At 47.9% G+C, this 22,341-nt stretch overlaps 1 protein-coding gene across 6 annotated transcripts in view, besides 2 other annotated features; it reads right to left on the bottom strand.

Moving 5' to 3' along the window:
* The window catches only part of MSRA (methionine sulfoxide reductase A), a 374,600-nt gene that overhangs the window by 7,178 nt on the left and 345,081 nt on the right, over positions 1-22,341 (bottom strand). The window contains exon 6 of one of the 6 annotated variants that reach the window (XM_011543822.3): positions 9,979-10,575. The exons of the other annotated variants lie outside the window; for them this stretch is intronic. Within the exon in view, the coding sequence (XP_011542124.1) occupies positions 10,513-10,575 (63 nt within the window). The 3' untranslated portion in view covers positions 9,979-10,512. Of the gene's footprint in view, positions 1-9,978; positions 10,576-22,341 lie in introns of those variants that run through there. 6 annotated transcript variants of the gene reach the window in all.
* Positions 3,080-3,602: an enhancer, noted in NCBI's record as "OCT4-NANOG hESC enhancer chr8:10275622-10276144 (GRCh37/hg19 assembly coordinates)". NCBI's record gives its function as "activates a minimal SCP1, AML or CMV promoter by ChIP-STARR-seq in primed H9 embryonic stem cells {active_cell/tissue: H9 hESC(primed)}" and the evidence as "EXISTENCE:reporter gene assay evidence [ECO:0000049][PMID:30033119]".
* Positions 5,097-5,959: an enhancer, noted in NCBI's record as "H3K4me1 hESC enhancer chr8:10273265-10274127 (GRCh37/hg19 assembly coordinates)". NCBI's record gives its function as "activates a minimal SCP1, AML or CMV promoter by ChIP-STARR-seq in primed H9 embryonic stem cells {active_cell/tissue: H9 hESC(primed)}" and the evidence as "EXISTENCE:reporter gene assay evidence [ECO:0000049][PMID:30033119]".

Below are 22,341 nucleotides of genomic sequence, written 5' to 3'. Positions count from 1 at the left end.
CGGGTCACTCCTTATGGAAGGCGTGCCAGCCGGGCACAGCAGGTCCCATCCGTCCTTCTAGGGCGGCCAGTAAAGAGCCTTTCTGGTAATAAATGTAATGAACATGTGATCATTCTGCTGACTGCAGCCTGCTAACAAGCTTACGATTAGGATCACCGAGATTCTCCAAGTGCCCGAGTGTCTCAGCCTATTACATGGAGGTGACACGCTCTCATACCACCCTGGGAAATGCAGGATGGCTCCTGGCAGCACAGGTGGCAGTGGGCACCAGTGGGCAAGGTTAGAAAGGCATTGAGACCCAGAGCCCAGAGTGGAGACCAGGACCCTGTGTTTGTCCAGAACAACAGTGTTTCCAAAGGGCTTCCACCCTCTATTCACGTGAACCTTCCATTGACTAAAATGTAGGCTTCTTATTCCTGTTTCTCAGCTGAGGACAGGGAAGCCTGGGGGAGAGGACAGGCATGACCACAGCCACCGGTCAGCAGCCGAGGCCAGCCCTGAACCCTGGCTCCTGACTACTCCCACAGGTGGCTAGACAAGGATGCCGCCCTGCCCCAGGAGCCCAGTAGGTTATAAAATACCCAAAGGAGCTCTAGACATGGATCAGCCTGTATGTGAGTCAGACTCTCCCTACCCAGCTCACATCCCCGGGACTCAAAACACGTGACGTTTATTTCACAGGCCATCTCTTTGGTTTTTGGTGGTGGTTTGTTTTTGGAGACAGGGTCTCACTCTGTCACCCAGGCTGGAGTGCAGTGGCGTGATCAGGGCTCAGTGCAGCTTGGACCTCTCAGGCTCAAGTGATTCTCCTTTTTTTTTTTAAGTTGTGGTAAAATACACACAACATAAAATGTACTATCTTAGCCATTTTTAAGTGTACAGTTGTGTTAAGTACATTCACATTGTTGTACAACTATCACTACTATCTCTAGAACTTTTTCATCTTTCTGAACTGAAACTCTGCATAAAACTTCCCTGTTCCCCGATAGCATATGTGATACTAACATAGGCATGAAAAGCACTTGTACATGGGGTGGGGGCTGCCCTCTCTTGCTGCCAGGATCACCTGTGCTACCACTGAACCTGGCTGGGTTAGTAACTCTGCAGATCCGAGACCATATGGAAAGAGGCCCGCATCATCCTAGCTGTGTAAGGTGAGACCCCAACATGAAGGAAAGGCCACCTAAGACTATTCAGCCTCAGATGGGCTCTCCAGACCACAAGAACTGTAAGAAATAAGACGTATTTGTTGTTTTATGTCATTAAGTTTTGGGGTAGTTTGTTATACAATACAAATGGATTCAAAGAGTCTCCCCATATTTTTAGATGAGAAGCCCCAATATTATCAATAGCACCTCTCCCCTCTCCTTCAATAATTCTAATAAAAATACAAATAGGAAAAAAAAAAAAACAAAAAAACTTCCCTGTTCCCCTACTCCCCAGCCCCGGGCAACCCCCATTCTGCTTTCTGTCTCCTCTGAATTTGACTCCTCTAGCTCCCTCATATACATGGAATTCCACAGTATGTCTTTTTGTGACTGGCATATTTCACTTAATGTCTTCAAGCTTCCTCCAGGAGGTGGCATGCGTCAGAATACCCTTTCTTTTTAAGGCTGCACACTATTCCACTCTACGTACATGCCATATTTTGTTGCTTTTGTTTCTTTAGCTGTCAAATAATACACATCTGGGAACATGACAAGCACACCCCACAAAGACACCTCGTTATGCTCCAGCCTGTTGTATCAGCAGCTTCCAGCGCTGACCCTGTGCTCCTCTACAGAACTGCAAAAGGAACGTGACAGCAGAAGGACTTGCCCCAAGCATATGGCTTGGCCATTCTTTCTCCTGCCCAACCCAGCTGATCCCAGTGGCCATGATGCCATTATAAAGACAGAAAGCTAACAGAGAGCTTGTCCTGGGTCACCTGATGGCAAGAGAGCTAGACTTGCCCGCCTGCCCTCCACCCAAAGAGATATACGCTCTAAACACCAAGCGCCACCAACTTCCCAAGTAACCTCCTGATTCTAGGAGATGACAGGAGACATACTCAGAGTGCCAGGAAAGCAGCATTTGCGTTTTAAGCACCAGGTACAGTGTCAATTTTCTAATGGATGTCAGGAGGAGTTTGCAGGGCCCCTCTAATGGGGCAGAGACGGATTGCAGGGTGCCTCTCTTTCACCATCTCACGTCATCAGGCTACTCATCCTGCAGGGTGGGGCCGTTATTCTACTTTACCCACTAGGAAACCCAAAGCAGTTAGGGACCTTACTTAAATTCACAGACCTTACTTGAATTCACTTTACCCACCAGGAAACCCAAAGCAGTTAGGGATCTTATTCAAATTCACATGCCTTACTCAAATTCACAAGGGTGAGGGGTAGGTCCGGGACAAGAATCCAGGTCTGGATTCCATGCCCCCTCCCACATCCATGCTGTTCCCGGAATTTGGGGCTGTGGGATAAGGAAGCCCCCAGGATGCCGAGTGTTCTGTCCTGCGACACGTGAGAGGTGCAAGGGATGATACAAATCCACAAGAACCTTGTATAGGAATTCTACAGAGCAGGGTCGGGAGGGAGTGGAGGGGGCTGGCTCTAGAGATGCTGATGCCTATGAACCTGTGGGCACATGCGTGGGAGGGAGGGGCCTGCATGTGCACCCTGTGTTTGTGCGCACAAGGATGCCGTATGTATGTATTCACCTCCCGCCTTAGTAGGACTGACCTATAGACATATTTTTGTTTTGTTTTGTTTTTGGAGACAGGGTCTCACTCTGTCACCCAGGCTGGAGTGCAGTGGCGTGATCATGGCTCACTGCAACTTTGACCTCTCAGGCTCAAGTGGTTCTCCCTGTTGGTGTTTTTTTTTTTTGTTGGTTTTTTTTTTTTTTTTTTTTTTTAGTCGTAGTAAAATACACATAACATAAAATGTACTATCTTAGCCATTTTTAAGTGTACAGTTAAGTACCTTCACTTTGTTGTACCACTATCACTACTATCTCTAGAAGTCCTTAGAAGAACTGACCTACAGACACTTTTTAGAAAAAAGTATTACTAGAAAGGAACCTGAACGTACAATAGTGTCTCTTGGGGACCATGGATTCCCTTGAGACTCCAGTGAATGCTTTGGACACTCTACCCAGATAAACTCACAATCAAATACTTGCTTATAATTTCAAAGGATCCTATGACCCTCTGGAGTCCATCCAACCATGATTACATCCTATGAACTGAGCTGCCCCTCCAGAGTCACCACTGCAACTGCCCATCCCCCAGCAGTCGCCAGGCACAGGGCTCCGGAAATGGGCAGGCAGATCCACTCAGCGGTGCATATTTCCAAGACAGATGACCCTCATTTCCATCACAGTTTGAAGGCCCTTGTGGCAAGGAGGAATGGCTGTGCTTGCTAAAGGGAAAGTCACAGGAAAGAAAGAGGGTACCTGCAGTTCAAACCTCATCAGACTGCAAGCCTCATTATGTCTTCTCCAAGCAATCCCCATCCCCTACACCCACCAAAGGAATTTAGCCTTAAGTGTTAGGTTTTCATGTAATTATTTGTAAAACGTATATGTGTATTTCATTTTGTGATCACTTTTTAAAGTATTGTGGTGGTATGAAATTAGTTTCCTAGAACAGAAATCTAATTTATGACCCTGAGCCCATCGGAAATTAGGGTCGGGCTTCTAAGAGGTCAACTTGAAGCTGCTGTCCGGGAGCCAGCACAGCTGCTTTAGGGGAAAACTCGCAGGCAGGACGCGGGCATGTGGATTCTAGACTCACTTCGCCCTCTAGCGGCAGCAGGACGCCTGTACAAGGCACTTCACTTGGTTCCTACCTTCCCCCTTCTGCACGGAGACCACTTCAATTCCCTCCACATCCACTCCATCAAATTCCATGCTATGCTTGTCCTGCGTGTGCACACGTGCGTGTACACAGACACACACACACACACACACACACAACATGCAGGTTTAATAAGCCCAGACAATGCCCCAGTCAGCTATTTTAGTCCATAGGGAGCACAGGTTGACCAAATAGATGTCAATCAAAACTTTAAAAAAAAAATGTGAAATGACTGGGATGGCTTTTAAATAAAGCCACTAGTAAGAAAACATCATCTATTCTGAGCTGGGCAGAGGCTCCTGCATCTCTGGCTGAGTGGTGCAGAGCAGATGCACCCCCACCTCCTGCGGTTCAGCCACAAGGAAGGGGGACGGCTGACTGGGCACTGACTGGCTGGGCTTACTAAGCCTACATGGAGTGTGCGTATGTGTGTGTGTGTGTGTGTGTGTGTGTCTTCTGACGAAGGGATGAGTGCTTCTCTTCAACACCAAAGAGGACCCCGGAGCAACAGGAGCTCCAGGCTCTGGGACAATGGAATTGCCCCTGTGAGTCATCAATCACTGCTGGCACATGCAAGGAGGACAAACCCAGGCCACCACAGTGTGACAATGACAAGGAGCGCGTTCAAAGGGGCTGAAGCCTTTACAAGCCCCCATCGGAGCTCACTGACCCTCCCAGCTTTGTGAACTCATTGGGAGGGAAAGGAGAGAAAGAGGTGACACAATTAGATCTAACTTGGTCCATTAAGAGACCTGCTTATGCAAATGCACGGCCTCTAGCTGGACGGATGGGGCTTCTTCGTACAGCTGCAGCGCTCCTGTGTTCCGTCCTTTCCCATACTCTGCAGGTTTGTCACACAGCTAATGGCTTTCATTATCTATTCCTCTGTGTCCTCTGCACCCTCGAGGTAAATCACAGTGTCTTCAGACTGCTAAGGATATTTCTCTTGGTTTGCAATGCAGAACGACAGAGCTACAAGCTGAGTTGTGTCTCTGCAGAGGACGGGGAGGATGGAGAAGGAGAGGAAGGAATGAGTTTGTTTCAGCTTGTTGGCTCCACAGCTCTGCCCTTGCTCCTCAGACAGCCTGCAAAGTTTGCAAGAAATGCAAAGTCTGGGCCCTTCCCCAGACGTACCGAATCCCATGTGAGGTTAGAGTGTAAGCAGCTCTGCTCTTGCAGGCAAGTGTGGTCAACGGCACAAGTGCTCTCCAACTCCCTCACCCTCCTTTTGAAGTCAGGTCACCCACGGGACCTGCTTTGGCCAGTAAGCTGTGAGTGAAAGTCACATGGGTGGTCTCCAGGCAGACGCTATAAAGCACTAGCGGAAGCGTCCCTACTTGTCCACCCTTTGCCACAGTAACCAGCCATGCTCCAGCCAGTGATGGCTCCAACACCCTGGGCCCTCACATAAGGACACTGACAAACCCACGCTGGGAGCACCACGGCCCGATGGAATCGTTTATTTCCTGCGTTGGTTTTCCTGGGCTTTCCCGGGCATGGGGTGTGATACCGAAGGGTTGGGAAGTCAGCACAGTTCAGCCGAAGCGAGCAGATTTCTCTGTGAAGAAGTTTTTAAACTCTCCAACTTCACTTCATGAATGAATCTCGACAATTGTTATTGCGCACTGGCTGTGTGTCAAGGACCGGGCTAGGCACGAGGAACACAGGGATGAACAGCACAAGCCCTGCCCGCGAGGTGCTCTCAGAAGAGTGTACGGGCAATTCCCACGACGTGTCTGCAGTGCCCAGCGTGAGCAGGTGCCGTGCCAGGTGCTGGGGAAGCAGGCTCAGGCAGGAGAAGTTCCCTCACACCAACAGCCACACCCCAGGGAGTGACGAGGACTCCTGTCCCCCACCCAGAGGGTCAGAATTCCCTTGGAGGAGAGAGGACACACGGGACTGTGAATATCCACCACGCGAGGCAGAGGGGATGTGCGGAAATGGAGGTGCAAACAGTCCTTTGAGGGCATGGAGGAAGGAAAGGTTAATCCTGCTGGGAAATTGCAGGAGGAGGTGGGCACTGAACTGGGAATTTGACAGTAGGCAGGAGTAGGGTGTGAAGGGCATGCTCCAAGCAGAAGAAACTCCGTGACCAAACACATGGAGGCTGGGGGTTGGGGGTAATGAGGTGTATCTGAGGGTGCTGACAGGTCCGGAGGAGAGTGCAGGGAGGGCAAGTCAGGTGAAATCAAGGATAAACTGGAAAGGTGGGCTAGGCCAGGGTGAGGGCGACCCAGCAGATGGGACCCTGGGGCTCAACCACAGGAAAAGATGGAAGCAGAGGTGGATGGAGAGGCTGCTGGAGGCATCAAGCTGTGGCCTATTTCTGCGTACTCGTCTCTGGGGACCCAGCTGCACACCCCCTGATTTTCCATCGCCTGCAATCACAGTGGTACAAGGGGCCACTTCAGGAGACTGAAGGAACCACGTGAACCCAGGCAAAGACAGCAGGTGCCTCTGAGGCTCACCTGCTTGCATGCAGCAAGGTCTGTAAGGCTGAGCTCAAGTGGGAACCCAGAGGAAGTGGGTGGCCGTCATTTGTTTTCCCATTACTTCCTTGTCGTCCTTCACCTCCCCACACCTCACAAATTCCAAGCATAACTTCCTAGATGCAAGGGGAATGGGTCCTTCCTTCTCTACCGCACATCGTGAATGGTGGGGACCCACCAGGCTGGACAGGGCTGGCTGCAGGTCTAAGCTGCACCCTCCTGGGGCCAGAGCATGAAACTCAGGGTCCTATAGTTGAAATGTGCAACCACCCATTTGCTCTGGCTCAGACAGTGCACCCTCCACCCGCAGGATGGTTTCCCTCCATCATGCATTCAAGGACTGCTGCTTCCTCTTGATTTGGGCTTTCCTTTGAGGTCTGCTGGCTTTTAAAAATAATTCAAGTGACTTTTCCTCTACGAGTTTTCTTTTCATGGCTTTCAGTTTCGGGAGACATGGATCTTCTCCTTCTCTTTCCCTGTCCCTGTCTTTGTATAGATCTCTGAGGGGTTATAATCTGCTTTTTCATATCTGCAATCAATTAACTACAACTTCTGATTTTTGTTATATGCTTAGCATTTAGTACACAAAGAAAACCACTTTTCACTTTTCAGGGAAAGCCAAGGATAGCAGGTTTCACCTTGGGGATGAAATGCAGATTTTGTTAAAAGGAAAGAGCCTTCATTCCAAAAGGTTGAATAGAAAAGAACTTCAAGCATAGCAGCAGATGCTTAAGCTTAGAGCACTGAATTCAGTGGGCAATGGGACTCCTCTGAATGTCACCGCTTCTCATTCACAGAAGAACTGCAGCAATTCAGAGCCACTAGAAAGAATAGTCTCACTGCAGACGGTTGACAGAGTGGCCAAGTGTCTTGGCTGCCAGGGCTGGGGGTGTCTCAGGATGCAGAACTTTCAGTGCCAACGCTAGGAAAGTCCTGGCAAACTGAGATGGTGGGTCACACCGACTGCAGAATGGTTGGAGGCATTTGTTTCTGTTAAGTAAGAAGCACTGGATAGTTTGTTTCACTCATCTGGGTCTCAGTTTCTCCAGCCGTAAAATGAGGAAGTTAAGTCAGCAGGATGCCTCCTGTTTACTTACACATGTCTCTTGGGACTGTGTCTTCCAGAGCCTTTTCTAAACTGTGCTCTTGCCCATCCCCCCAGATAATCATTTTATATTGAGAGGTAGTTCACATAAAATTCGTTTTTTTTTTCTTCATAGACAGAGTCTCATTCTGCCACCCAGGCTGGAGTGCAGTGGCACGATCACGGCTCACTGCAGCCTCAAACTCCTAGGCTCAAGCGATCCTCTTGTCTCAACCTCGCAAGTAGCAGGGACTACAGGAGCACACCACCACACCTGGCTAGTTTTATTTTATTTTTTGTAGAGATGGGGTCTCGCTATGTTGCCTGGGTCTGTCTCAAACTCCTGGGCTCAAACAATCCTCCTGCCTCAGCCTCCCAAAGCACTATGATCGCAGGTATAAGTCACTGTGCCTGACCTATCCTTTCAAACTTTACAATTCAGTGGTTTTCAAAATATTTTCAAGGTTATGTAACCATCACCGTTTTTCCCCCATTTTAAATTCTGTTCCTCAGACTGGATAATATCAATTGACTTATCTTCCAGTTTCATTCTTTCTTCCGCCAACTCAGCCCTTCTGGCGATTTTTTAAAAAGTTATTGTATCTTTGAATTTCTACTTAGTTCTTTTTTTTTTTTTTAATATCTCTCTCCTTACTGATATTCTTTATTTGTTGAGGCATTACTCTAACATTTTCTTTTAATTTTTTCAGTTTCCTTTAGTTCTTGGTGCACCTTTATAACAGCAGATTTAAAGTCTTTGTTTAGTAACGGATACCGTCATGTTTCTTTGTTACATATTTTTTTCTTGAAAATCAGACAATTTAAAAAATAATGTGGCAACTCTGGAAATCAGATGTCCTGCCCCACAGTGTGGTGTTGCTTCTGCTGCTGCTGTTCCTTTGTTCAGTGACTTTCTTGGACTAATTCTGTAAAGTCTGTCTTCTCTTTCAGGTGTGGCCATTGAAGTCTCAGTGTGGTTAGCTAATTATCACCGAATGGTTAGGCACCGAATTCCTTACAGGCCTGGAAGCACCAGACTCCTACCTTTGCTGAGGGCTGTGTGTGCGCTAGAGCACAGGAAGCTTCAGGGACCCCACGGTTCTCCACTCGGCCTTCTCTTCTTCTCTTCCCTTGTGCAGGGCCTCATGGCAGCCACAGGCGAGATCAGGGCCTTCCTGGGCATACGCATTCCTCAGTGTGGTGTTTCCATTTCCCAACTGAAGGCCACTTAGGTTGTTTCCTGTTTCTGGCTATTATGAACAAAGCTGCTGTAAACATTTGGGAATGGGTTTTTGTGTCGTCTTATTTCTCGTAGGTAAAAATCTAGGACTGGGATTGCTGGCTCACAGTAGGTGGAAGTATATTAAATGATGGGAAATTTCCAATGGTTTTCCAAACTGATCATGCCACTTTGTGCTCCCCACCTCAGTCCCCTGCAATGCATGAGAGTTCCCATTGCTCTGTGTCATTCCCAGGACTTGGTATTGTCACGATTCTTTGATTTGCTCATTCTAACTGCTGTAGAGTAGCATCACAACGTGGCTGTCATCTGCATTTCTCCAATGACTAATGATGCTGGGCACCTTTTAACGTTCCTATTTGCCTTCTGTATACAAAGGCATCCTGTAGGTGAAGGGACTTCTTTGGTGAAGTGTCTGTTCTAATCTCGTGTCCATTTTTTAATCAGGTGATTTGCTTGTATTGTTGAATTTTGAGGGTTCTCTAAATATTCCAAAGTTATGCTTTGGCTTCAAACGCGTAACCCCTGTCCCATGATTCTGGTATGCTCCCGTTGAGCATCTTCGTTCTATACCTGGAACATCATGTTCGATAGTTTATATCACATGTAATATCTCTGCAGGTCCACATTCATTCCCATGTAGCTCTGAAAGCAACTTTTTCAGTTGGTTCAGCACACATTTACTGTGTCCCTATTCGGGCATTACACAAAGTACCAGGGAACCAGAACTGACAAGCCTGTGGCCCTTGTAATTGAGGAACTTTTAATTTAAAGAAACGTGGTTCAAATTTGGATTAAATTAAGAAACACTTAAGAACGACTAGCTGCAATACATCAGATTTTTTCATATACAATTATTTGTTCAGACTAAAAACGGAAACATTTTCCTTATGACTGTATAGGGGCTATTCACTATCATTCATCAATCCCTTCTTTATGAATGGCGAAAAAAATGTTAATACGGCCCTTGCCTAAAGTATCATATATTCTAAAAGAATGCAGTTTGCATCAGAAGATTTCTGCTGTAATTTTAAATGAGTACTCCTGTATTCTGAGTTTATGAAATGTGATAAAAACCAAGTTCAAGGACAAAGTAAAACCACTCTGTGGACGACACACACCCTTTCCCTTCCCAGGGGCGGTGTCCACAGAACAGGGCTGTTCGCCACCCCTGGGAAAGTTTTGCTTAACTGGAATATGACTACCTAGCTAGGAGCTGCTGGCAGAATCTTCCTGAACACAGAGAAAATTAACTTTCAACAGCAGCTTAAAAAGCAATTGTAATTTCTTAAAATCCTCTTACGCCATGTTTAAAAAATGAGACTTAGCAACTTTATTTTTTTTATTCACTGATTAAGACAATAAAGGTTGTGCTCATTTCAATATTAAGAAATTAAAAGCTCCCTTGAGACTTTCTCTTGCCCTAGGGCAGGTTACATCTGTCAGCTGCAAACAGGCTGACCAGCTTGCAAGCAGAAATTCTCCCTTGGGCTGCAATATGTCTAACCTCACACTATATTGGCTGAAGCTAAGAATTCAATGATTGGGTTTTTTTTTTTTATTATTATATTCAAAGGAAACTAAAAATAAGACTAAAAAATAAAATAAGGGCTATATGAGCAAATGCACTCCAGATACAGTTGGCTGTGATGCGTTAGCTCCCAGCTCCACATGGTTAAGAATACGCAGTGAAGCTCAAGACAGAGAGAAAAGAAGCTTTTGTCAGTTTCCTTTAAAGCTTAAAAACGACACGGTGTGAACACACAGAGGACGGCCCACAAAAGGCTGTTTTCCTGTGATACTGTCAGCGTGACGTCTCAAAGCTGCAGGTGATAGCATGCCTGGCATTCTAGCAGTTTCAGCAACAGCATCTCAACTTCCAAGCAGGCGTCTTCGGAGGACTCTGGCCTCTTCGGTTCTTCTAATTGCCAAGAGAATAACAAAGAGGAAAAGTAAAACCTGAGTGGAGGTCAGATGGAGGGGTCTCATTCGGGCTGTTTAAGCTGCTTAGCAATGAAGTACAGTCAGGATTTTTTTTTTGAAAGGAGGAAGGAAAGACGAGAAGGAGGGAGGGAGAAAGGAAAAATGGGTGTGGGGGAGGAGAATTCAAAATAGGCCATAGGTGTTCTTTGCCAAAGCATAATTTTCCTTTTTGTCAGGCTCAGAACCAGTGGAAGAACTGGAACTCCCTCAAGAACATAAGCTAATTATACAATTTAAATTTGCATATAATTGGCATGCTTTCCAGTTCAGACAATAAAAATCCATGTTAACTGGAGTTACAAAAATGGCACTCTACACTGAAAGCAGCACTGTGCATCTCTAAGTATCAAACACTCCTTAAAATATCTCCAGGAGTTCTCCAGGAGATCATGTTTGCATAGAGGTTGGGGACAAGAGGGGCCTGGGCTCTTCTCCTGGTTCTGCCAAACAGCATGACCTTCAGGAGCTGACCTTGAGGCTTGGCCTTCTCTTCTGTAAGAGGGGGATAAGATATCTACCTCTCAGTGCTGTTTTGAGGAAGAGGTGAAATCATGTATTTGAGATAATACATCACATGGATTCTATTTCAGGAGCACTGCTCTAAACTGTGTTGGTTATTTTTGCGATGTGACGGAATGTCACACTGTGGGAATTATGAGGTGATGGGGGTTATGCCCAAAGAAGTAGGAGCGTCAAGGGCCTGGCCACTTGCATCCTGTTCCACCCTTTCCTGTCCTCCACCGGCACCCCCCAAACAAGTGACTTGGGTTTTTCACAGGCCACCCAGATTTTTGGTCCTTGGAAGACCTAGCCTGTTGGCAGACTTTCCATACGAGAGTGTTGGTGGCTCCTGGCCAAGCGTCCCCGCCACACATGCATACTCCATGTCACAATGTCACAAACCCACAGCAACGGATGGGACCATGGGAAGACCACTATGGGAAGATCCTGGACCCAGGCTCGGAGGATCATCTTTTTCCTTTGACTTGCTCTACGAAGAAATATCTTTAAAAATAATAGACAAGGTCTTGCTCTGTAACCCAGGGGGGAGTGCAGTGGCACCACGATAGCTCACTGCTGCCTCAAACTCCTGGGCTCCAGCGATCCTCCTGCCTCAGCCTCCCAAGTAGCTGGGACTAGAGACACGTGCCACCCATGCCAGGCTAATTCTTTTTATTTTCTGTAGAGACAGGGTCTATGTTGCCCAGGCTGGTCTCGAACTCCTAGCCTTAAGTGATCCTCCCACCTCAGCCTTCCAAAGTACTGACATTACAGGCATGGGCCGCTGTGCCCAGCTTCTATGAAGAAATATCTTGATTGAGTCTATTAAATCAACCCAAGTGAAAGTCCTGTGTTTCTGGGAGACAAGGACAAGCACGTGCATGTTGGTGGGGCGAGGAGGGCCTAGGGGTGATGCTGCGTATGCATTCACCCTGTACCAGGCTCCCCTGCATGCTCTACACATGCTGTCTGATGTTATCCTCATCACGTCCTCTCTAGAGATCACAGTAGTATCTGCTGCATTTGGTAAGAAGGGTGCTTAGCAAAGGAGAGGAGAGGCAGTATTTCAACCCAGGCAGTCTGACTCTGGAGCCATGGTTCTCAACCACTCACCAAATCTGCCATCTTAACTAAAAAGAATTCCATGTCCCCGTGTGACAAGAGACCTTACATGATCTCCTTTCTCATGAGGGGAGAGATGAACTTCATTTAAAAACAAACGGCCCACAAGCATATGAAAAAGTGCTCATCATCACTAGTCATCGGAGAAATGCAAATCAAAGGCACAATGAGATATCATCTTACACCAGTCAGAATGGCTACTATTAAAAAGTCAAAAAAATAACAGATGTTGGCAAGGGTGCAGAAAAAAGGGAATGCTTACACACTGTTGGTGAGAATGTAAATGAGCACAACCTCTACGGAAAACAGTATGGAGATTTCTCAAAGAACTAAAAATAGAACTGCCATTCAATCCAGCAATCCCACTGCTGGGCATCTGCCCAAAGGAAAATAAATCATTACATGAAAAAGACACCTGCACTCAGATGTGTATTACAGCACTACACACTGCAGCAAGGATATGGAATCAACCTAAACATCCTTCAACAGATGAACGGAAAAAGAAAATGTGGCGTATATGTACCATGGAATACTACTCAGCCATTAAAAAGAAGACAATCATGTCTTTTGCAGCAATGTGGAGAGAACTGGAGGCCATTATGCTAAGTGAAATAACTCAGACACAGAAGGTCAACTACTGCATGTTCTATCTTACGGATGGGAGCTAAATATGCAAGAACATAATAGTTACTGGAGACTTGGAAGGGTGGGAGGGTGGGGGAGTGAGGGATGAGAAATTACCTAATGGGTACAAGGTACATTATTTGGGTGATATTAACACTAAAAAAGCTCAGACTTCGCCACTACACAATGTATGCATGCAACAGAACTGTACTTGTGCCCCTTACATTTAAACAAATTAAATTAAAACCTGGATTTTTTTATTACCTACTCCTCTATTACTTATTTATTTAGAAATACGGTGTTGCTCTGTTGCCCAGGCTGGATTGTAGTGGTATGCTCACAGCTCACTGCAGGCTTGATTCTGGGTTCCAGCGATCCCTCTGCCTCAGCCTCTTGGGTAGCTGGGGCTACAGGTATGTGCCACCATGCCTGGCTAATTTTTTAAAAAAAATTTTGGTAGAGACAGGGTTTCACCGCATTGCCCAGGGTGGTCTTAAACTCCTGGGCCGAAGTGATCTGCCCGTCTCAGCCTCCCGAAGTGCTGGGATTACAAGCATGAGCCACCACGCCCAGCCCATGTTCCTCTTTAAATGTCACTATGCAGATGTAAAGTCAGAGTGGTGCTAATGAATGATGCTGAGAAGCCCGATTTTTGCACATCTCGTCCCAGGGATGCGACCCTTTCTCCCTGGCCTCTGTTTCCAGACAGTGAGCCAGTTCTGTCTGTGGTGACACAGTTTTCCTGCTAGTGCTCCTGGTCTCGTGATTACTCTTGAAACAAAATTAGAATGTGGTGTCGAAGCTTGTCAATTTTTTAATAGAAATTCTAAGAAGTTTATACCTATTGGTTCTTCTTTGCAATCCTATTAACCTACTCAAAGATTCGGTGCATCTCCAGTGTAGCTTAAAGATTGATGTGATCCTTAATGAAATTCTCAGAATTGATACTTTATCAGGTTTCAGAATGTGATTACCAGGTAGAATAGGCATTACAATAAAAATGTAAGGAGCAAGCAAGAATTTTGATTAAAATGTAAGCTATCCTATACTTCAGGTGCTGGGGTGTTTAGACCAATGACAATTCCTGCTCTGTGCCTCACTCTGTGCCCCACCATTTCCTGGGATCCAGAGTCTTCTCTTCTCTTGCCTACAGAATCCTGCCACTCACAACCCCACCCCAGAAATTCAAACGCACCCCGTGCAAACCCGGAGACATTCTCCTTCCTTTCCCAAAGCGGTTGGTCTTCGCTGTCCCCTCTCTTGGCACACGGCATCATTTGCTACCTCTCCTCCAGGCTACACATTTCATTGCCATCATCAACTCTCCCCATCCAATGTCCATAGCAAGTCCTAATTGTAAAGCAAAGCTTGACAGTTCATCCAGAATGGTTCACAAATCCACCTCCACCCTCATCGCCACCTCTAAGGCTCAGCCATCACCCACCTTTGTCTGGACTGCTGCCACAACCCTCCACCTGCCCTTACTGACTCATGTCATGACCCTAAAATCTACCTCACCCTGCCCAGGACCCAGGGGAGCTGATGAAAGTCTGATGGTGAGAACGTGGGCGTTTCACATCCACCTCTGGTTGTGAGATGCCAGTTCTTGTTCATCACATTTGCAAGAACACAAAGAAAATGTCACATAGTCTAGGCTGGGCATGGTGGCTTCTGCCTACACTCCCAGCACTTTAGAAGGCCGAGGCGGGAAGATCACTTGAGTCCCGGAGTTCAAGATCAGCCTGGGTAACACAGTGAACCTCACCTCCACAAAAAATAAAAAAATTAGCCAAGTGTGGTGACACACACCTGTGGCCTCAGCTATTTGGGAGACCGAGATGGAAGGATTACATGAGCCCAGAAGGCTGAGGCCACAGGGAGCCCAGAAGATCAAGGCCACAGGCAGCTGAGATCATGCCACTGCACTCTAGCCTGGTTGAGAGAGTGAGGCCTGTTTCAAAAAAGAGAAGATCACGTCTGACAAGGCAAGACTCAGGGCCATCCTAGCATGGGCCTCATCTTGGTTCCTAGGGCCTAGAAAGTGGGCCAAACAACATGACTTTTCAGAAATATGGAAAATTGCACTTTTTGGAGAAATCAAAGGAACAAGCACAGAGCAGGGGAGATATGGCTTATCTGTGAAAACCCACCTTTTGTGTTTGAAAGTAGGTTGTCCGTTTAACTTATGCCAGGAGGGAAAAGAGAGCAACAGACTGGCCAGCACCAAGGAGACGCCTCCAATACACCCAGGACTCTGTGGCCCCCATTCCTGTCTGCACCAACACCCTGGATGTAACCCCCAGCCTGCCTATTCTTGAACATCCCCAACACCCATCTCCCCTTCTTTGCTTTCATTACCTGAAAGGATGCCCCACTTTCCTGCATGACCTTGCTCAAGTCACTTAGCCTTTCTGTACTTGGATTTGCTCATCTCTAAAATGAAAGTGACAATATCATCTTGTAGAAGTAGCTGAAAGGTCACATTCTTCAAGAAGCAAATAGCCTCATTTTCCAGATGAAGAACACAGGTTCAGAGAGGTTAAGGAACTTGCCCAAGGTCACACAGCCCACAAGCTGCCGTGACTGCAAGGGACCTCCCTCAGCCCACCACGGTAGACTTTCTGCGAGACCACTGCTGTGAACACACACTCTCTCCCGCCACTGCCCGACACAAGTGTGTGAGCCTGGGAGTCGGATACAGGGAGAGTCACGCTTCTCCCCTTACTGGGAAAGAGCAGGAAATAAACTCTTTAGTTCCCACTAATGGGTTCTGACCCCATCAGCTCATGGAAAGCACACTCACTGCAGGCAGCCCTACCCTGGAGGACAGATGGTGAATAGCCAGTCTCAGTCTCCTCTGCCCCTCGTGATCCATCACATGTGTGTGTGTGAGCACATGTGAGCATGTGTGTGTGCACTGTGAGTACAGCGTGTATGTGAACATGTGTGAATATTGTGTATGTGTGAGTACATGGGTGTGTGAGCATGTCTGTGATTACGTGTGAGCACATGGGTGTACGCGAGCATGTGTGTATGTGATTACATGTGTGAGCACATAGGTGTGTGTGAGCACATGGGTGTGTGTGAACACACGTGTGTGATTGTGTGTGTGAGCACATGGTTGTGTATGCATTCTTCCTCCAAGGTCATCTCCAAGCCTCACCTCTCTGCTCCCACTCCCATCACTCACTCTGGCACTCTGATCAGCATCCAGTGGTAAAGGTCTACCCTAAATAGTTATGGATATGGGGTCCTTAGTAGTCCAAGTTCCAGAGAAAGGAAAGTGACAGCTGAGGTGTCAGGGTAAAAAGAAGGAAAAAAAAATGCCGGGCATGTAACTCACATTTTATTCTCTCTCTCTCTTTAAGAATCTGGCAGAGAGCTCATCTTCCTTCTGCCATGATGGAACAGCAGTGACTTGGCGACCATCTCGCGCCAGATGTCCCCTCATCTGGCTGTCTTGGCTGGGTGGTGGTTTGGAATGAGCTGCCCAAACATGGAGGGAGGGGCAGGTGCTCCGGCAGGGCGATGGGTGGCCGAGCTGGGTGGCCTGGCAATACTCTGATCCTGCAGCTGCAGCTCCCCACCTAGGCACAGGGTTGACAGAGGGGAGAGGCACTCTCTCCCAGAGGGAGGCTGGGCTCAGTGACCTGGCACATGGTCACTGTGGCATAGACATGTCTTGCTATTTTGTGAAGAGAACAGGCTTCCGGTGCACTTGGGCTCTCATGGACACTGGAGCGGTGGCCACGAGTCTCTCCTGTCCGACATCCACCAGACCACACTCCGGGAAACAGATGAGAGGGAGCACAGGGTGGCCCAGGCCCCACATCTGGAGCCTGTGACTGTGGCCTAAGGCAGCTCGGCCATCGTGGGTTCTGTCCAGGCCAAGCCCAAAGCCATCGTGGGGAGCAGTGGGTGCACAGCTGTGCCGCTTACCACACACACTAGCAAGGAGACTGGGGAGGATGCCGTGCTTGGGAAGTGGGACACGCCACATCCATGGTCTGGCGGCCAAAAATGGAAGGGTCCCAGTGAGGTGGGTGGCCTGGGGGAAATGGGCCTGCGACTCTGGAATAAGCCCTCTGGCTGCCCCTGAAACCCCAGGCAGGTGCCACGAGAAGGCACGGAGGGCCGGGCTGTGTTTGTGTACACATCAGTGTGTGCGAGGGAGGGCGGCGCGGCAGCACAGCCTGCCAGCAAGCCCATTTTGGTCACCATCTGCCATGGAGAGCCCGCGCACCTGTCAGAAGCAGCTGCTGACGGCAGATCGTAGGTGAGGGAGGGAGCGGCCGCCCGGGATGGCCTATTGCAGGAGCGAGGGCCACCCCGCAGGAATGCCAACTGTTCACTTTGAAGCCATCCACGTGGGCGGGCGTGATGGATCCCACACCCGCCTGCCCCTCCCCACGGAGGGTTGGGGGGTGGTGACGGGATCGTCACTTCCCTGCCTCCCTGGCAGCAAGCTTGACTGTCGTTTGTCACGGGGCTGGGGAGAAAGGCATCTAGTGTTGTCAGGAAAAGAAAGATTCCAGGGGGACGCTTCTCTGGAGGTGGGAGCCCAGATGCCCCTGGGGAAGGTCCCTGCCTTGCTATTTGTGGAGGAGGAGCAGCACCGTCTCACTTTCCCGGCATTGTGGGGAAATGAGGTGACCTCTCCACGTGGACCAGGGGCCGAGGTGATGCATTGTGACATGCGGAGGGCACCCCCTAGATCCTTTGAAGCATTTTCCGAAGTCTACTTCATCAACATAAAATAAAAGCCTTTTATGTTAATATGATATATAATGACATATAATGAGAAATCTTTCCTACAGTGAGCAACAGTCCCCCGCCCAACACATTTTAATTACGTCATTGTCATCTCTTAAATGCTCATGGGTCACGGCTATTTTATTACTGTATTTCTTTAATCCTCATACAATCCTCTGTGAGTGGTGCGGTCTCATCCCTGTGCACCAGATGGGAAGCCTAGGTCCTGAAGAGGTGAGGCAACTCAGCAGGGACACACGGCCTGGGCATGCAGAGCCAGGACTCACGTCCCGCCCGTCTGCCTCAGCCTGAGCCTGGAAGCCACCGGCATCGCTGCTACATCTTCCCATGTGTGTCTCACACCAGTTTCAACTTTGTAAGGCCTCAGTAGAGCCCACAGTTGTGCAAAGCACCCATGAGCCAGGCCTCTGTGGGCCACAGACACACACGAGGCACAAGCTGGAGACTGTTGGGGAATGCTTTTCCCCACGGGACACCTGATGGCCTGCCTTCCTCTTCAGTGCCGCGGACCACCTTCCCCAGCGAGCACCTCCAGAGCCCCAGCGGCAATTCTCTCGCCCAGGCTCTCTAGTCCCAGCCAGGGCCTAGCCATCCAGGACCCATGAACCTCTCCCTTCCTGTGGCCCTGGAGAAGGGATCCCATCATCCCAGCTTCCAGCAAGTATGGCATGAGCATGTGGAGCTAGGTAAGGCCCGGCACCTGCCTTCCCACACAGCACGACAGGGCTTTTTCTCGTTGGCTGGGTTGATGTCATTTTTCTCCTGGGACATCACTCAGGGAGGCACCTTGCTTCTGAAGCCTTCCCATCTGCCACCCACTCTGCTGAAAGCTGTTTCGTTAGTCTCAGGTGCCAAGTTTCCGGAAGCTTCTCTGGTGCATTTGGAGGGCCTTCTCCAAGCCAGCCCTGGGACATTTTAATCTGTGGCTTATAATTTGTGGGGACTGGTAAACAAGAATCTCAAGCTTCGTACGTGTGAGTGCCTAAAACCAGAGCCAAGACAGGTGTCAAGCATCCTGGCTTTTGTGCATGAACTTGGCTACATAACTTCTGGTTGCTTAGAAGCTGTCTTCTCTTCCAGTTTTCAGATACTCCTTTGGCCATGGCTTCAATGGTAGGCATGGTGTATGTTTCTCAGAAGTAAATGCCTCCAAATAGCAGGAGAATCAGGGTCATTACCCATGTTGGGACCCTTCAGTACAGGGAAAATACAATTTTGTGCTTAAATCTCAAGTCTGGAAAGTCTCCTACTGATTCCACATTGCAAAGCAAATAACTGCAAATACTATGCAAAAGTATCACTGCACTATACTTTTGAGAAGAGCTTGGCCATCTGCAACTAAACCTTCCACCCAAAGGGCATTTCCCAATGCTACTGTGACTGTCTCTGTGTCGGGACAGTTTCTTTCCATTGTGGATACTCCTTCACCTCTCCCTATCCCTCTCCCCGAGCTAGCAGCCATTGTTGGAAATGCGTGCTATAGAGTGCCTGGGCTCCCAGCTGCCTCCAGTGGGCATCTTGGGCTATGGGGGCACTGGATGCTTGCGTCATTGGAATGATCATGCACAAAATGCAGCCTCAGGGCTCCCCTCTCCAGGGAAAACTGTGGGTGAGTGGGAGCTGCAAGTGGAGGAAAGACTTCCAGGCCAGAAAGCAGCTGCTGGCTGTCGAGGAAGAACCACATTTGGCGTTCAGCATCAGAGGCCTGTCACGGTTCTCTGTCCCCTGCCCAGGCAGGAGCTGGAATAGGAGGCCAGGGTCCCTCCAGGGGTAGGCTCAGCCCCCTAGAGAGCTTCTGTCCAGTTTGGGAGCAATACCTTCATAGCCAAATGTTTAGAGGTGGGAGGGGATGAATCCCTGGGTGACAGGCATCGCACAGGGAGTGGACAGGAACCCTCAGCAATGTTCACGATCGAAATGCACTAGGAGAGCTAAGGGAACCCAATGCTCAGGGTCTGCCTGCCTTCCTTTACATTTTTTTCTATTATGGTAAAATATATGTAACATAATATTTACTATTTTAGGCATTGTAAGTATACAATTAAATGCATTAAGTACATTTACAGTGCTGTGCAACCATCACCACTATCCATTTTCAAAAACTGTCATCATCCGACAGAAATTCTTTACCCATTAGATAATAACTCCCCCTTTCCTCAGCCCCTGGGAACCTCTATTCCATTTTCTATCTCTATGAATTTGACTACTCTAGGTCCTCATATAAGAGGAATCATACAGTATTTGTCTTTTTGTAACTGGCTTATTTCATTTAGCTTGATGTCCTCAAGGTTCGCCCATCTGTAGCACATGTCAGAATTTTCTTCCCTTTTCAGGCTGCAGTCCATTGCGTATCTATAAGTCACATTTTTTTTTTACCCATTCATCTGATGACGGGCACTTAAGTTGCTTCCACTTTTTGGCTATTGTAAATAATACTGCTAAGAACACAGGTGTACAGGTTTGAATCCCTGCTTTCAATTCCGCTGGATATATACATAGGCGTGAGATTGCTGCAGGATACAGCAATTCTACGTTTAACTCCTTGAGGAACTGTCTAACTGTTTCCACAGTGGCTGTACCATTTACCATTCCCAGTAGCAATGCACAAGGGTTCCAATTTCTCCACATCCTCACCAACACTTATTATTCTCTGTTTTGTTTTGTTTTGATAATAGCCGTCCTAATGGGTCTGAAGTGGTTTCTCACTGTAGTTTTGATTTGCATTGCCTCAGTGACTCATGATTCTGAGGATCCTTTCACGTGCTTATTAAGCATTTGCATTTCTGCTTTGGAGAAATGTCTATTCAAAGTCCCTTGCCCATTTTTCAAGGGGGTTACTTTCTTTGTGGTTGTTGAGTTGTATGGGTTTTAAAAATATTTTCTGGACATTAATCCCTTATCAGATATATGATTTGCTAACATTTTCTGTGACTCTGTGGGTTGTTTTTTTTTATATTCTTGATAGTGTCCACTGATGTGTAAAAGTTTTTAAATTTGATGAAATCCAATTTCTTTTTTTCTTGTGTTGTCTGTGCTTTTGGTGTCATATCCAAGACACCAGTACCAACTCCATCAGAGATCTGCATTAAATCCATTGCAAATCCAGTGAAGACTTTCCTCTATGTTTTCCTGAGACGGATTTATCGTTTTAGCTCTTATATTTAGGTCTTTGATCCATTTTGAGTTAATTGTTGTGTATGGTGTGAGGTAAGGATCCAGCTTCATTCTTTTAGTTACATTCACTCACAAACCTGGAGATCCAGTTGTCCCAGCACCATCTGTTGAAAAGTCTGTCCTTTCCCCACTGAATGGCTTGGCACTCTTGTCAAAAATCAATTGACCACAGATGTGAGGGTTCAGCCTTCCTGTCTAACACTACCCATTATGCTTCTCCTCCTGCCACCACCTCAGCAACCAGACTCCCCTGAGAGGCTAACAGCCTCCATGCCCTACATCTCTCGGTCAGCTTGTTACAGCCTCAAGGCAGCAGCCCCAGAAAGCAGGTGCACCATCCCAAGTCAGCATGGACCAATATCTGTCTTTGTCCTTTGTCATACCTGTTCTCACTCCTGCTTCTCCTCCCAGCAGTCACATGGGGAGTCAATAGGCTTGATATCCCCAGCCCCAGCTCTCATTCATCCACCGTGTATCTTTCCCTACACACTACACACTACACACACACACACACACACACAGAGCCTGAATAGGTCATAGGCCATGGAGTCCTCCTGACCTTCTCTCTGATTTATTTTTTTCTTGTCTCCTCCCCTCCACCCTCTCCACTGTAACCCAGGCCCTCATCATTTCCCACTCTTAGCCCCTCTCCCTGCCCCAGCCCGATCCCATTCCAGCCTGGCCTCCACAATTCCTCCAGAGTGATCACGTAACATGCAAGTCTGACTTTGTCTCTGCAGCTTAGAGCTTTTCAAAGATTCTCCATTTCTATGACAATGGTTTATCACCTACCTCCCACCTTCACACACACACACCTTTAGAGACACTGAAATGGCTGCTAGTCCCTAAACAATCCATATTCATTTTAACCTTCATGCCTTCCCACATTACCTGCCCCTTGTCAGGAAAGGCCTCACTCCCATGCCTCATCTTATTCTTCCAAAGCGGCTCCAACAGCTCTCCCTTTCTGACAAGTTCCATGCTGCCCCCAAGACCATCCATCTAAAGCAGAGCTGGTGTCCTTCACCTGTGCTGCAAATCCTTGCGGTTTGTTAGTGACAGCAATAACAGCACTAATCAATGCTACAGCCGCCACCATAACCACCTCCACTGCCGTCCATTGCACCCTCCTATGTAGCGCTACCACCATCCATTGCACCCTCCTATATAGGGCTACAGGGAAGCCTATTGTTTTAGGCCATTTTTGTGTTGCTATAAATAAATATCAGAGGCTGGGTAATTTGTAAAGAAAAGAGGTTGAATTGGCTTGTGGTTCTGCTGGCTATATAAGCATGGTGCTGGCATCTGCTCGGCTTCTGGTGAGGCCTCAGGGGGTTTTTACTTATGGCTGAAGGCAAAGTGGTAGCAGGTGCACGGCCAGAGCAGGAACAAAAGAGACCGGAGAGGCACCACACCCTCACGTGAACTAACTGACTGGCAACTCACTCATCACCAAGGAGATGGCGCTAAGCCATTCAGGAGGGATCTGTCCCCTGATCCTATACCTGGC

The sequence above is a fragment of the Homo sapiens genome, chromosome 8 (genome assembly GCF_000001405.40).
Source record: "Homo sapiens chromosome 8, GRCh38.p14 Primary Assembly".
NCBI lineage: Eukaryota > Metazoa > Chordata > Mammalia > Primates > Hominidae > Homo > Homo sapiens.
The sequence above is the reverse complement of the archived record's forward strand: the minus strand, read 5'-3'. Positions and strand labels throughout refer to the sequence as shown.